Raw genomic sequence first — 16,457 nt, 5'->3', positions numbered from 1 at the left:
TGAAACAAAATAAAAAAAAAAGTTACAAAAAGCATTTTAGAGCTGTGTAAGAATATTAATGTTCCACAATGAGAATTTGTGGAGAATTTAACACTCTTCTGCAATTGATGTAACAAGTAGACAGAAAATGAGTAAATATATGGAAAACTTGGAGAACATTATCAAGCAATTTGACAAAATTGACATTTACATTCACATTTCGTGGGATTCAGCCAAAGCAGTAAAGACAAATTAGAAAATAGAGTATAGAAATATAGAAAATAAATATAGACAATAGATGTCTCAAGCCAATGATCTGAATATCTGCCTTTAAAAAAAGCAGAAAAAAGAGCAAATTAAACTAAAAGCAAGCAACACAGCATTAGGAGAAAATATAGAAATAAAAGCAGAAATCAATGAGATCGAAAAGGGAAAAACAGTAGAAAAGGTCAATAATATCAAAACTGCTTTGACATGTCAGTAAAATTGATGACCATCCAGCTATAATAAACATGAACAATAGATACAAATTACCAAGATGGGACATAAGAGAGGGGCATCATTTTGAGCCTACAAACACTAAAATAATAATAAGAAAACATCACAAGATCTTTATGCTCATAAACCTCATAACTTGGATAAAGCAGGCATAACACTTTAAAAACAACCTCAGATGCTACCTTAAGAAGAAACAGATAACATATGTGGTTCCCTATCAATCAAAGGGACAAGGTAAATTGACACTAGGCTGTTGCTAGCATTTGCTTAACCGCTCAGTCATGCCATTGAGGGTACAAGATTCTTCTATATTTCTCTTCTACCATCCTAAGAATGTTAAATTTTAACTTCCATGCATGTAAATTACAGTAGCAAAATAGTTGCCCCAGTTCTAGTCATGATATTTCCAATCACAGTAGGAAAAAAGTTAGAAGGGGAGTTGACAGGTTTATCTGTCCCTTTCATTAGAAACTCAGAAGTTTTTCCTGTAGTCCCACAACCCGATAGATTTTCCCCATTGGCTAGAGCAGTGTTACAACAGTTACCATTAGCTACAAGAGGAAAATTGGAGGAGGATTCTAACTTTTGGATTAGTTCAATAACTATCTCTTGTTTGTGGCTGGGATCTTGGTTTCTTCAAACAAGAGCATTGCATCTTATTAGCCGGGAAGAGGGAAAAGATAGACATTTATAAGAAATCACAATGTCGCCACATCATTCTGTTGCAATCTGACTGCGCTACCAAATTTAGATAAATAATACCTGCACTAGCTAGACCTCACCAATTAAAAAAAAATACTTTGTGTACAGATGAAAATGGATATAAAACAATGCTGCCAGTACTCCACTACAATTTTATTTAATAAAAATTCTTTCTAACTCGATGTGAGATTTTAAGTTTGATGTAATTAATTTTTATTTTTAAAATAAGGTTTTCTTTTGCCTGTGGGTAGAATCCATCTGTCAGATCACAGATGAGCAAGCCAGATTGAAGAGGAACAGACTTTCTTAGGTGGGCAATATGTATGAAATGTGGTAATTTTGCAAATTTGGATGCTAAAAAATCTGTGAATCCCTATAAGCAAGTTATGAACCCAAGCCAAATTGTTAGGAAGAAAAAAACCAAATTGTTGCTCTGAAAATTCCTTTTTATATGCAGGGACCTCTGAGATAGCTCTGAACAAAACTGCAGGATTCAGAATGTGTTCTTCCTAAGACTTGCAGATAATTCATGAGGACTTTTTCCCCAGCTACTACCCACAATGATGGTATATAATGTTTGATCTCTTGTCAATATAAATACAGATCAATAGGAGTAAAATATAAATTAATCTAAAATAATAGCAGAATAATTTTAAGTTAAGTAGGATTAGAAACTTTGCTTCAAAATTTGGCAATACCTGAACATGTGCTTCACGCTATAGATCTTCAAAATATAAACATGAGCATTATGTTCTTATGAATGCATTTTTAGCTTTTGTAGCCTTTAGTTTGATGACTATTAAACAAAATCTCCATAGCAACAGTTCTGTTCTTCAAAGTTTTGTAAATGATCTGGAAATAACCAAATGAATTCTTAGCATACAAGTTACATGTTAAACTTTTGTATATATTTATAGCATATGCTCTTTAGCTTTTTGTCCATACGTAATCTCAAAAACATTTATTCATTTTTCCATATAATGTATTTCTTCTATACCTTTTTAACAATTTTTGTCATTTGTGGACCACTTTCAGTTTCTGTGTACTACCTCTGTGGAATATCTGTATCTATATACACACATATACATACACATGCACATACATATACACACATGTAGCTTTGTGCATTTTATTACCATAAACATACACATACGTGTAGATTTGTGCATTTTATTACCATAAATCTACATGTATGTATATGTAGTTTTTTGAAATAACATCACAGAACTAAAAACTATCAAAACTGTTCACTCTTCATTTTTAAGAGTGAATTACTAAATATTTATAAAATACAGGAAACAGTAAAGAATGGCATAATAATTAATTATGAACCAACAATACAACTTAAAAAATAAAATTTGCTGAGTAGGGTATAGGTACCACCCTCCACATCCTGGGTGTATTTACTTTACCCTTCCTTCCCCAGAGGTAAGTAACTACTGTATTTAGTTTTGATTATTCTTATGCAGTTTTGGGGTATTTTTACTACATATGTATTCATCATTAACACCACATATGCTAGTTTTTTATGAGTTTAAATTGTAGGTATCTGTCTGAAGCTTAAATTGTTTGACTCAATGTTATGTTTATAAGAATCTTGTATGGTAATATAAGGAATGAATGTATATACTTTTGAGGGAAGGGGAGTCTATTGTCAGTTAATGTTTTGGCAGACATGTCTTATCCAATGGTTTACTCTTATAAGAGATTCTACTATAAATATTTTAACATACTCTGTGTACGTGTGCAATAGAAACTGCAGTTTATAAACTTGACAGTGGAATTGCTTGTTTTTTTCTGATTTTTTAATGAAAATTTCTGGCTTTTTACCTTTATGATTCTAGCTATATTTTCTCTGGTGCACAACATTTAGCAGGCTAATAAAATTTCTTCCTAGTGCTAGAGTGACAAGAAATTTTATTATGGGAGAATATTGAATATTATCAAATATATTTCTCAAAGCCTAAACCTTAAATCTAATTATGTATAATATATTAAGAAATTTCCAATGATATCTTTGCTTTTCTATTCTGAAGTAAACTTATTTGTGTATTTTTTTATATACAACACTAGGTTTGACGTGATAAAATTTACTTAAAATATTTGTATTATTGGCCAGGTGCGGTGGCTCACTCCTGTAATCCCAGCACTTTGGGAGGCCAAGGTGGGTGGATCATGAGGTCAGGAGATCAAGATCATCCTGGCTAACACGGTGAAACGCTGTCTCTACTAAAAATACAAAAAAAATAGCCAGGCGTGGTGGCGGGCGCCTGTAGTCCCAGCTACTCGGGAGGCTGAGGCAGGAGAATGGCGTGAACCTGGGAGGCGGAGCTTGCAGTGAGCCAAGATTGTACCACTACACTCCAGCCTTGGCAACAGAGCGAGACTCCATCTCAAAAAAAAAGAAAAAAAATTACATTATTTTCTGTGTTCCTTTTTCACCCTCCTTCTATTTTTCATATTATGATTATAACTCAAATAAATTGAAGGAAAATTTTCTCACTGGCAGAATGTATGTTAGTTTGAAAATATCTAAGTATTTGTTTTAGATAATATGCTAACCCATCTAGGCCCAGATAGTTTTGTTTGCATGTGGAATTTGAGGAGGGGAGGTAAATATTTAATGTTGATTAATTTTATTTAATTATTTTAGATGATTTTAGATTTTCTATTACTACCTGAGTAAATTTTGATAAATTATATTTCTTTAGGAAATTGAAGATTTCATTATACTTTCCAAATTACTGGCAAAAGATTATAAACCATAAAATAAAATCGATATTTTTAAAGGTTCAAGTCTTAATTTGCAGATTTACCAGTCACAGACTTTCAAAGTGTAGACTTGTGGCTTTTTTGGCAATCCAACTCTTTCATCAACCTAATCAGATAATTATCAGCTGGCTTATTATAAATTCCAAGTTTAAGGAGCAACACTTATTCTATACTTAACATAATTTTTAAGTCTAAACATATATGGCCTTTGTCTACTAGCCAGGTCCCTCTCTTTCAGTGTAATAGATGTCCCTTGAGGACATCTGTAACAATGGATTTGAGCGGAAAAGCAATATCCTTAATATATCTTTACCGGAACATTACCAAAACTTGTTTAACCATGTGTATATTTTCCTAAGGATGCCAATTCAAAGTCTTCATTCTCTATTGCTATAAACTGGGGTCAAAAATATTTGGGATTCTAAACATTGTATGGCTTTTTTGTGGAAGCCTTTGGACTATGCTTTGAGAACCACTGCTCTAGATCTAGCTTGAGATAGTATTAGTAAATTAAAATGGAGACCAGGCCTGAGTAATCCCTGAGAGCAAACAAAACCAATTAGGCCTGATAAGTGACCTTAACCTTGCTGGATTTGAAAACATAAGCAAAACTTAACTTGAGTTATTTCTTGTAAATGTCTATATATATATATATAGACATTTTTATATATATATATAAACAAATGTCTATATATATATAGACATTTACAAGAAATAACTCAAGTTAAGTTTTGCTTATGTTTTCAAATCCAGCAAGGTTAAGGTCACTTATCAGGCCTAATTGGTTTATATATATATATATAAACACCTAAGTTCAGTAAATCAGAGGCAGCCAGCAAACTTCTAAATATATGACTAGATATTTCCAGCAGGATAGACCAAATAAGAAAACTTATAACTGTAACTAATCAAATACACTTTCTGTATTAGTCCCTTTTCATACTGCTATGAAGAAATACCTGAGCCTGGGTAATTTATAAAGAAAAAGAGGTTTAATGGACTTACAGTTCCGTATGGCTGGGAAGGCCTCAAAATCATGGCAGAAGTCAAAGAAAGAGCAAAGGCATGTCTTACATGGTGGCAGGCAAGAGAGAATGTGCAAGGGAACTGTTCTTTACAAAACCATCAGATCTCATGAAACTTATTCACTCTCACAAGAACAGCACATGAAAAACCCACCCCCATGATTAAATGATCTCCCACTGGGTCCCTCACATGACACGTGGAGATTATGGAAATCACAATTCAATATGAGATGTGGGTGGGGACACAGCCAAACCATATCCCTTTCTTTATACTACTTTCATATTCACTCTAGAAAAGCCTATACCTTATGCTTCCTCCAGGGAATCCCTGAACCACTTCTGTTCTGGAGCTGCTGGATTCATAAATTGTTGTTTGTTCAAATAAGCACTTTAAAATATTATTATGCTTCAGTTTACAATTTTAACAATAGCATATTGTATTGGCCCTGTAGGAGAGAAAAACTTTCCCTCTGTACCTCTTCTGTTCTCCTGCTGGATCTGAAAAATAAAGTGACAAGAGACAGACTGACAGGAGAAAAGGCATACAAACGTATAATTTTTAATTTTGTATGCATGGGAGCATGACAAGAGGAGGTGAATACCCAAAAGAGTAGCTTATACACCATTTTAATAGAGAAAAAGACAGGGAGAAAGGCCGCTTGTGGGACAATAAATAATTTTTAAAAATATAAATAGATTAGAGATATGATAGTTTGTGACACCAATGTCTATTTGGGTGTAAGACATAGATATAGATATAGATATGAGACATAATTTAAAAATATTTGGTCTCTGCCCCTAGTTTCTGTCACAAAGCTTCTAAAAACCTTATAATGTCCTGAGCAATGGGGGTACTAAATGTGTCATTTTTACTAATATTTGATCTTTGAGCCCCGTTCCTTGCACAGAGCTCCTAGTGTTTATAAATTCTCTAGGTGATAAGAGCATCTCTTCTTCTAATAGGGCAACTCATGGTGGGCTCCTGCATTGGAGCTGGTCATCAGAGGGGCCAAGTCATGATTAGAAGTTTGGAATGTTCAGCCCTATTTCTCATCCTCTGGGAAGGAAAGAGGGGCTGGAGATTGAGTGTACGTGAAGAAGCCTCCATTAAAAAAATCCCTAAACTATGGGGTTTGAAGATCTCCTAGTTTCGTGAACTTATCCACATATGGGGAGTGTGGCACCCCTCAACTTTGTGGTGAGAAAAGCTTTTGCACTCAAGAAACTTCTGGACCTCACCCGATGCCCCTCTCTTCATCTGGCTGTTCACCTGTAACCTCTATCATATCCTTTAATATATAATAAACTAGTAATATAGGTAAAATGTTTCCCTGAGTCATGTGAACCCTTTTGGAAAATGACTGAACTTGAGGAAAGGGGTCATGGAAATCCCAATTTATAGCCAGAAAGTCAGAAGTACAAGTAAAAACCTGGGACTTACGGTTGGCTTCGGATGTGTGGACAGTTTGTGCGACTGAGCCCTTAACCTGTGGGATTTGTGCTAATTACAGTGAACATCAGAATTCATTCAGTTGCAGGGCACCCAACTGGGGTCTGCAGAGAATTCGAGAATTAAATTGTTGTGAGGGAAAAAACAAACAACACACATTTGGTTATGGAAGAGTTCTGTGTTAAGTGTGAGTGCAAGAGTAGGGAGGAAAGAATTTTCATGCATATGCATTACATACCCATATTAGGAAATATTTGAGTAGGTATCCAGAGTGGACACTCAGTAAGCTTTATTGTCACTAAATTTTCCTCTACAACATTGGGAAGATCATCTAGGTTAGCATGAACTAGGTTAGATCTAGATTAGCATCAACTAGGTTAGCATGAATATATGGAAGTCTAACATATTTTGCACTATACATAATTAAAATGTAGAATTGGCACCGATGCTAATATTCTACCATTGTTTTTATTTTCTGTTTAAAATTTTATATAGTTACTGTTAGCAGTACTGTGTCCTTGTGCATAAAAACTGTAAGTCTCCAAAAAATTGTCATTTTTTGATATACATTAATTATATTATACCCTTGTTATTTTTGAACATTTTCTAAACATTATTTTGTCGTCAAATTTTGCTAAGAGCTATTGAATGCTAGCTTATCTTATGCATATATTTTGATTTTTCATTTAGAATATTTAGCTGAGTTTTCCTCCCAGTAGGCAAATCATATTTTTTCCTTCAGAGATGATAGTAAAGCTTAGAAGCCCATTTCCAGATTGTGTCTGGTAATAATTTATCAACTGTCATGGTCTAACACACCCTAGTAATTTCTGCAGGTGTCTGGGGACCTGTTTGGGCATCTATTATAAAGGATGAAATGCCAATAACCAGGTGTTCTCCTGTCACTGTGGTTGTTGTCACTCCCAGGAGTCTTAACAGTCTCCATTACACTACAGAGGTTAATCCAAGAAGTAGCTCAGAGATAATAGGCCCTGCCAAATTTCACATTGACTGGAGTTAGTTTTCAGAGGTTTTATCATATTTTAGATGAAACAGCAACTTCCTAGTCATCAAAATTTTTCAAAAAGATAAAGAAATGGAGAGAGATTTTAGACACTTTTTAAAATTGGAAAATTATTAGAAGCATTTTAAATGTGTTTTTTCTATCCTGTATTCCCTTCTACCATCTATACCTTTGCTTATGCATAGTTTTCTCTCAAATGCTGGGCCTGGCAAAAACAGTGTAATTATTATTATTATTGATCTACTAATATAGTCTAAGTACATTTTGTTCACTATCACACAATTTTTAAACACTTTATTCAATGATGCAAAGTAATAACGGACCCTTAAAATACTTTTGCAAGTTGGTAATTATGTTTTGTAAGGTAACCTTTAACTTTAACATTATAAAATAAGATCACAGCAAGGTATAAACATAATTTAGTTTTACTTAACAAAATATTGTCCTACTAAATTTACTTAACAAAATATTCTCCTACTACTGACGGTAATTAACCTTGGATAGTTACTTTTTCAACACCTTTGCACAGAAAAGAGTATAAAACCACTTCATATATTTTTAATGCACTATACCATTGAATTGCATAATTTTTTACTAACAGAGGCTCAATAAAAATTAATTTATTAAACTGATGCCTTTATGTGCTTATACAATGCAGTATAAAAGAGATTTGATTGCAATGCATAGGTGTTGAATCTTGGAAAGGAAACTCGTGTTACATATACTTAGCTCAGAAACTTTCTGTGTACAGAGATGCTACATTTCATTTGACAGAAGACACAGAATGTATGCGAAAGGAGAAACTGAAAGAATTAAGGGTTTCTGAAGAATAGCAGGTTCACAAAAACCCTCCAAATCTCTGATTAGTACTGAATTCATAGCTTTGTAACTATTGTTGGCCTATCTTGTTTTGACTGCCTAGGAACAAAAGCTCCTTTAGTTTTCTTGCTCCTGTTACCATGAATAATGAGGGTAATACTGAGTCACCTGCAGGGCTTTCAACAGGTAATAGTTAAATGACTTTCAAAGAGAGGAGAGAGGGAGAGAGAAAAAGCAAAGAAGAATGGTTTAAAAATAGTATATTATTGATTAAATATTCTCAAATATTTATTCAGCAACTTCATTTTAAATCTCTAATTAATTTGAATGAAATTATTTACTATCTAACTGTAAGAATCCTGGTAGATTCTAAGACATCAAAATTTCTGCTAAGAAAAATAAGTTGAAGAGAGAGATGGAAAAAAATGTAGGCCTTCTGGGTAAATGGCCAATGCAGGAAAATGTGTTATGTTCAGATTATTCCCGTGAGTATGAACAGCCACCAAATTTAATGACAATTTGTGTTTTTGTGAAAAAAAGTTTGAAATTGGTATTTCAATTTGCAGAAATTTTGGATATTTAACCTATTCTGATATTGTTGACAAAGAGTCAAATTCTGTAAAATATTTAAAGAGGTTTATTCTGAGTCATATGTGAGTGATCAAGGCCCAAGGCACACTCTTAAAAGGTCCTGAGAACTTTCCACCTCTTTCTGGAGAAGGAGAGACCTTTACAAATGGAAATTTCCTTTACAAAGGGAAAATTAGTGCCCTGTTTTTAGAGCTTTTCCTGAGTCTGCTGGTTCTCAGGAGTCCTAGCTCAAAATAATTCACAGGGCAAAAGGTCTATGTTGGGGTGGCATATTCTGGTAAGATTCACAACAATGCCTCTAACTCTTTCCAAGTAAGAGTCATATGATTTAGTCAAAGAAACTTACGATTTTAAGGAAATATTAATTAATTTATTAGTACATACTGTTATTTCTTAACTCGTTACAGAAAGTTTTCAGGGCCACTGAAATTTACAAATAATATTTACATCTTTCAGTTTATGTCAATTTCAAAGTAACATAAACCACCTCTGGTCATTGGGAGATTTTCATATATAAATTGGGTATCATTGTTTTTGAGGACAGCAAGAAGTTTGTAGCTTTTACTTTTTTGTTTTAGTTTAGGTGAAATTCATGTAACATAAGATTAACCATTTTAAGATCCATTTTAAAGTGAAAAAATCAGTGGCATTCAGTACACTTACAATCTTATATATGCCCACCTCTATTAAGCTCCAAAATATATTATCCCCTAAGAAAATTTTGTACCTATCAAGCAGTTACTCCTCATTCTCTCATCCTCCAGCCTCTGTCAATTACCAATCTGCTTTCTGTCTGTCTCTCTGGATTTACCTATTATGGATATTTCATACATGAAATCATACAATCTGTGACATTTTGTGTCTGGCTTCTTTGACTAGGTATAATTTTTTTTTTTTTCAGATTCATCCTTATTATTGTGTCAGTACTTGTCTTGGTTTGTTCTAGCTGCTCTAACAAAATATCTTAGACTAGAGAATTTGTAAACAACAGAAATTTATTGCTTATAGTTGTTGAGTTTGGGGAGTCCAAGATGAAGCCACCAACAAATTCAATATCTGGTGAGGCTTGTGCCTGTGCTTCAAAGAGGAAGGCTTCTTGCTGCATTCTTGCATGATGGAACTTGCAAGGCAGCTCACTTAAGCTTCCTTTATAAGGGCACTAAGCAGAGTCCTTATGACTTACTTATTCTCAGAGGCCCCAACTCAATGCTATCACATTGGGTTTATCACATTGGGTGTTAGGTTCTAACACGTAAATTAGATAGTGGTGGGGGCACCAACTGCTATGGTTTGAATATCTGTCCCCTCCAAAATTCATGTTGAAATTTAATCCCCAATGTGGCAGTGTTGAAAGATGGGACCTTTAATGGGTGATTGGATCATGAGGGCAGATACCATTCATGGATTAATGAGTTAAAGAATTAATGGGCTATCATTGGTGGAGGGACTGGTGGCTTTATGGTAAGAGCAAGAGATATCTGAGTAGCATGCGCATCCTCCTTGCCCTATCTTACCCTGTGAGGCTTCAGGACTCTTCAGAGAGTCCTCATCAGCAAGAAGGCTCTCGCCAAGTGCACCTCCTTAACCTTGAACTTCTCAGTCTCCATAATTGTAGGAAATACATTCCTTCTCTTTATAAATTAACCAGATTCAGGTATTATAAGCAACATAAAATGGCCTCAGACACCAATATTCACACTATAGCTTTACTCCATTTTTATATGGCTCAGTAATATTCCATTGTGTATGTGTGTGTGTGTGTGTGTGTGTGTGTGTATATATATAAATACACACCATAATTTGATATCTATTTATCTGTTTGTGAACATTTGGTTATTTCCACCTTGGCTATTGTGAATAGTCCTGCTATTAATGTTTATGTACACTGACTTGTTTGAGTACTAGTTTTTCAACACTGGAGGGTGTACCTCCAGAAATAGAATTAGAAGATCATATGATAATTCTATGTTTATGTTTTGAGGTGCTCCCAAACTCTTTTTCATAGCAGCTGAATTATTTTATATTCCTACAATGTATAAGTATTCTCATTTCTCTACATATTTACTGCCAACACTTGTCCTTCCTTCCTTCCTTCCTTCCTTCCTTCCTTCCTTCCTTCCTTCCTTCCCTCCTTCCGTCCTTCCTTCCCTCCTTCCCAGACACATGTACATGTATGTTCATTGCAGCACTATTCACAATAGCAAAGACATGGAATCAACCTAAATGTCCATCAGTGGTAGACTGGATAAATAAAATTTTGTACATATACACTGTGGAATACTATACAGGCATTAAAAAGAACAAGATCATTTCGGGAACATGGATGGAGCTGGAGGCCATTATCCTTAGCAAACTGATGCAGAAACAGAAAACCAAATACTGCATGCTCTCACTTGTAAGTGGGAGCTAAATAATAAGAACACATGGACACATAGAGGGGAATAACACACATTGGGGCCTATTGGAGGGTAGAGGGTGTCACGCACATCCATGTGAAGAGAGTCCACCAACAGGCTTCGTGTGAGCAACAAGGCTGTTTATTCACTTGGGTGCAAGTGGGCTGAGTCGGAGAAAGGATTCAGCAAAGGGAGATAGGAGTGGGGCAGTTTTATAGGATTTGGGTAGGTAATGGAAAATTACAGTTAAAGTTGGTTATCTCTTGCGGGCAGGGGCAGGGGTCACAAGGTGCAGGGTGGGGAGATCATGGGACTCATTGTCCAGGGGAGGAATGTCACAAGGTCGATTGATTAGTTGGGGTGGGGCAGGAACAAATCAAATGATGGAATGTCATCTTTTGTTGTTCTTCCATTGCTCCAGGCCGTCTGGATGTATACATGCAGGTCACAGGGGTTATGATGGCTTAGCTTCTGCTCAGAGGCCTGACAGAGGGTAGGAGGAGGAAGAAGATCAGGAAAAATAATTAATGAGCACTAGGTGTGATAGCTGGGTGATAAAATAATCTATACAACAAACACAAGTTTACCTATATAACAAGTTACCACGACACAAGTTTACCTATATAACAAACCTGCAATTGTACCGCTGAACTTAAAATATAAGTTAAATTTTTAAAAAAGCCATCCTAGTTGGTGAGAAGTGGTATCTCAATTGTGGTTTTGATTTGCATTTCCTTAATGACAAATGATATTGAGCATCATTTCAAGGGCTTTCTGCTTCTTGGTTCTTTGTATAATTCTTTGGGGAAATGTCTATACCCTTTGCCCACTTAATTTGGTCTTCTTTTTGTTGTTAAACTGTAGACCTGTAATTTTTGTAATATTTGGTCGCTGACGTAGCTTTTCCTTTAATTTTTGTCTAGCTAGAGTTTTGGCAGTTATTTCCTTGAATGTCAGGGGTAGACGGAGAGAGACACAGACAGAGAGAAGATAAGAAAGCGTAAATCAAAAACCTTCCCCAATCTTTGCAGTCTGGCTTTGTGATGAGGAAATCCTTCAATGCTCAGCCGGGCCATTTAAAACTCTGCCTTAGCCTGTACATCCTGTTTGCACTTGCATGGAGTTTAGCCAAAGGGGAAAATGTTGCATATTCACAGGTCTTTTCTTAGCATGAGTCTTACCCTGGGCATGCATGTGATTTTCTAAATTCCAAGTAGACTCAGAAACTTTTGGATGCCCTAATTTCCCAGTGAAACTCTCTCCCCAGTTTTCCCTCCTAGGCTTTTGGGACTCTATTGTTGCTTCCGTTGTAATCTTTTGCCCCAGGCGGCTGTGGGTTTTGCACTTGCCTTACAATGTTTATTAGTCAATTCTATAGATTTTCAGACCCAGTTCCCAGTTATGCTAAACAAAGACAAGTTCCTTGTGTCAACACTTTGGGAAGCCCCCAGGCAATTTAGAGCAGGCAAATGCAATTCTTTGCCTCCTCTGGAACCAGGGATTCCACTAGAAATGAAGGCTGCCATCTTCAAGATTACCCCTGAGCTGAGTGGGGGAGTGTGGCAAGGACAAGTGAAAATGTCAAAGCATTTCTATCATTTTTACATTGTCTTTTTCTTAATTCAGCATTTGCTTTGTTGCTATGAGCCTGTCACTGTTTCCTAGAATTCTGACAAAGTTGTTTCTAACAGGTTTTCTTTGAAGTTGGAATATTTCTGTGAGGGGTCTGCTTCTTTGAGCTATTCCACCGTTTTCACTGACATTACTAACTTTACTGCTGTTAAATCATAGAAGTGCCACACAAGTGTCATCTCAATATATGTTCTAGTGATTAAACATTGGAATAACAGCTTCTGCTTCTGTCCTTAGAGGCCAGAAAGGTGATCTCACTGGAAAGGTGACGATGTCCCCAGCAACTCAAATGCTTATTTCAACTTTTTTGTGATACATCAGAAGTTAACATTTTGAAAGCATATTTAAGCCATATATAATTAAACATAGTTCTGTATTATTTTGTCCTCAAAATGTAACAACCTATTTTTCTTCTGAAGCCCCATGGTTTTCCTAGTCATATTTTTCCCATGGAAATTTTATGTCCCAAGTTTAGTTCCAACAAAATTTATATACTCCTTAAAAAACTAAGATTAAAAGAGATGTCTTAATTTAATAAAATCCCAGATACAGCAATTTTGCAGATTTTCCTAATGACCCTAAACAGAATGACCTAAAACAGAATATTGAGGCATTTGAGATAAATGTAAACATTCTGTCTTTGATATACCCAATGTGATGTGCGAGGCATGCATCTGGGGTATCCTGCAGTGCAGGCGATGAGGTGTTGCACTGCAAGAAAGCTGCCTAAATATGAGAGCTCCGTTTTTGAAAATTATTCATGAACAGATAGAAGACAAAATCGCAGGAAAAGAAATCCCTCAACAGTAAAAATATGGTGACAATTAGAGTGATTTCAACCCAGTTATATGGTAATTTTTATTAAAATAAATGGAACAGGAAAAACACCAAAGTTGTACTTTGGAGGCCAATAGATTAAAATGTTTGAATTTTTTTTTCATTTTTAATTAAAAAAAAGTCAATACTAAATTTCAAAAACAAGCATATAAACAGTTATTTCTATTTATAGATATTTCCGTAAACACAATGTAAGTATGGTTTTATTTTATTCTATCCTAACAGCTTTTATCTACAGCCTTGTGCTCTGAGACAATTGAAAAGGGGCATAATGTAAACGACATTAATATCTGTTATATATCAAATATATTTCTCTTTTTTCCCTCTGATGACTCCTTAAGGAAAAAAATGTAACATAATATGCAGAGATAGCAAGAAAGAAAATAATTGGTGGCACAGAGATTTTAACACATGTTTGGGAAATCAGAGGCAGATGGCAAGTTAGGGCTCCATCAAAGGTAGTGTGTAGCAGGACGAGCCGCAGACAAAACCTCTCAGACACCGAGTTGTAGAAGGAAGGGCTTTATTCAGCTGGGAGCATCGGCCAGCTACTGTGTCAAAATCCGAGCTCCCCAAGTGCACAATTTCTGTCCCTTTTAAGGGCTCACAACACTAAAGATTTCACATGAAAGGGTCGTGATTGATTTGAGCAAGCAAGGGGTACCTGACAGGGGCTGCATGCACCGGTGGTCAGGGAGGAACAGAACAGGGCAGGGAGTTTCACAGTGTTCTTCTATATAATGTCTGGAATCGATGAATAATATTGGCTTCTAAATCATAGGTTGATTTTTAACTACTGGGTTTAGGTCAGGCAGGCCCAAGCCTGGTTTTGGGCCTGGCGCCGGGCTGCCTGTCTTTGGTTTTACTTCCTTGTTGTTTTTACTGAATATAAAACAATATAAAACAATATGAGAGAGTCTCTCTCTTCTCTCAAGTGAAGGGAGTCATGGTCCAATATATACATAGGAAACGGTTGCAGAAGCACGGTTCTCCCCAGTAGCAGCCTCGAGAAGCTCAAAGCTGGGAATAGAGAGGAAGTACACGTGGAGTTGAATAGCAGAGGATGGCATTAGCAGAGTATTAGCAGAAGGTTATGTCAACTGTTGAAATTTTTGCTAATTATTCTTTGTTACTGAGGAAAGAGGCTATTTCTCTTACTGTCCCCTGTCTCGGAAGAGAAGAAGGAAGTAAAAGCTGAAAAACAACAGACTGATCGGTGCCATTGGCCAGACCTGTAGGTTAAAGATAACCCCCACCCTAATCACTTGTGCTATCTATAGATCACAGACAATGGTATGCAGAAATACTTGCATTGCTTACCCCCACCACTAACGTATGTGGACATAGTCATGTACCCCCTGCTTGCTCAATCTATCACGACCCTTTCAAGTAGGCTTCTTAGGGTTGTAAGCCTTTAAAAGGGCCAGGAACTCTTTCTTCGGAGAGCTTGGTTCTTGAGACACAAGTTGGCCGATGCTCCCGGCTGAATAAAGCCTCTTCCTTCTTTAACCATCTGCGGCTCATCCTGCTACATTAGCTTTTATTAATAACTTCTCCCACTTGTGTAGAATTATTGGCACTTCAACACTGACTTCTAGAATAGGGATCTAAAAAACGGAATTATCTGCCTAGAAAACACAAGAATTCCTAGCATAATTTTAACTGGGCAAAAATAAACCTATCATCTGCACTTTACTAATTTTAAGTTGATTCTAGTAGTCAAGATTGTAAACATGGCGTTCCTATATGAAGAGGAATGTATGTATATTCCCAATAATGCTGTAATCATTTAGAGAATACTTAGAATGAGGTTGAGAGGCCGCTCCTTCATAGAATCTTATCTAGTTGGTCTGGCATCTGGCCCTGCTATCTATTAAAAGCTGCTCTGATGCCTGACTTTAGTGTGTAGCCACAATTAGGAACAATATTATACACTGAATGTTTGTGTCCCCCTGGAATTCACATACTGAAATCTTAACCCCCAGTGAGATGACTCTAGGAGGTAAGGCCTTTGAGAAGTGATTAGGTCATGAGGACAACTCTTACAAATGGGATAAGAGCCCTTATAAAAGGAACCCCAGAGAACTCCTTTGCCCCTTCCTTTCATGTAAGGACATAGAGAAAAAAAAAAAGGTCATCCATGAATCAAGAAACAGGTCCTCATCAGACCCTGAATCTGTGGATACCCAAATCTTGGTCTTCCCAGCCTCCAGGACTGTTAGAAATAAACATCTTTTCTTCATAAGCCACCTGGTTTGTGCTAGTTTTTAAAATAGCAGCCTGAGGCTGGGGCGTGGTGGCTCATGCCTGTAATCCCAGCACTTTGGGAGGCTGAGGAGGGTGGATCCAGAGGTCAGGAGTTCAAGATCAGCCTGCCCAAGATAGTGAAACCCTGTCTCTACTAAAAATATAAAAATTGGCTAGGCGTGCTGGCAGGTGCTTGTAATCCCAGCTACTCAGGAGGCTGAGGCAGAGAATTGCTTGAATCTGTGAGGCAGAGGTTAAAGTGAGCCAAGATCAGGCCACTGCACTCTAGCCTGGGCGACAGAGCGAGACTCCATCTCAGAAAAATAAATTAAAATAAATAAATAAATAAATATAAAAAAATAAAATAGCAGCCTGAGTTGACTAACATGAAGATAAACAATGTCTATAATTATGTAGATAACTAATAATCATTAGGTATTAATAATCATTCTTTAAAGATTTTTAGAATGCAAGACAGAAAAAAA

At 36.1% G+C, this 16,457-nt stretch overlaps 1 annotated feature.

Annotated features, from left to right (window-relative positions):
* Positions 8,040 to 8,630: an enhancer, noted in NCBI's record as "NANOG hESC enhancer chr21:21649240-21649830 (GRCh37/hg19 assembly coordinates)". NCBI's record gives its function as "activates a minimal SCP1, AML or CMV promoter by ChIP-STARR-seq in naive H9 embryonic stem cells {active_cell/tissue: H9 hESC(naive)}" and the evidence as "EXISTENCE:reporter gene assay evidence [ECO:0000049][PMID:30033119]".

Source organism: Homo sapiens, chromosome 21 (genome assembly GCF_000001405.40).
Source record: "Homo sapiens chromosome 21, GRCh38.p14 Primary Assembly".
Taxonomy (NCBI): domain Eukaryota; kingdom Metazoa; phylum Chordata; class Mammalia; order Primates; family Hominidae; genus Homo; species Homo sapiens.
The sequence above is the reverse complement of the archived record's forward strand: the minus strand, read 5'-3'. Positions and strand labels throughout refer to the sequence as shown.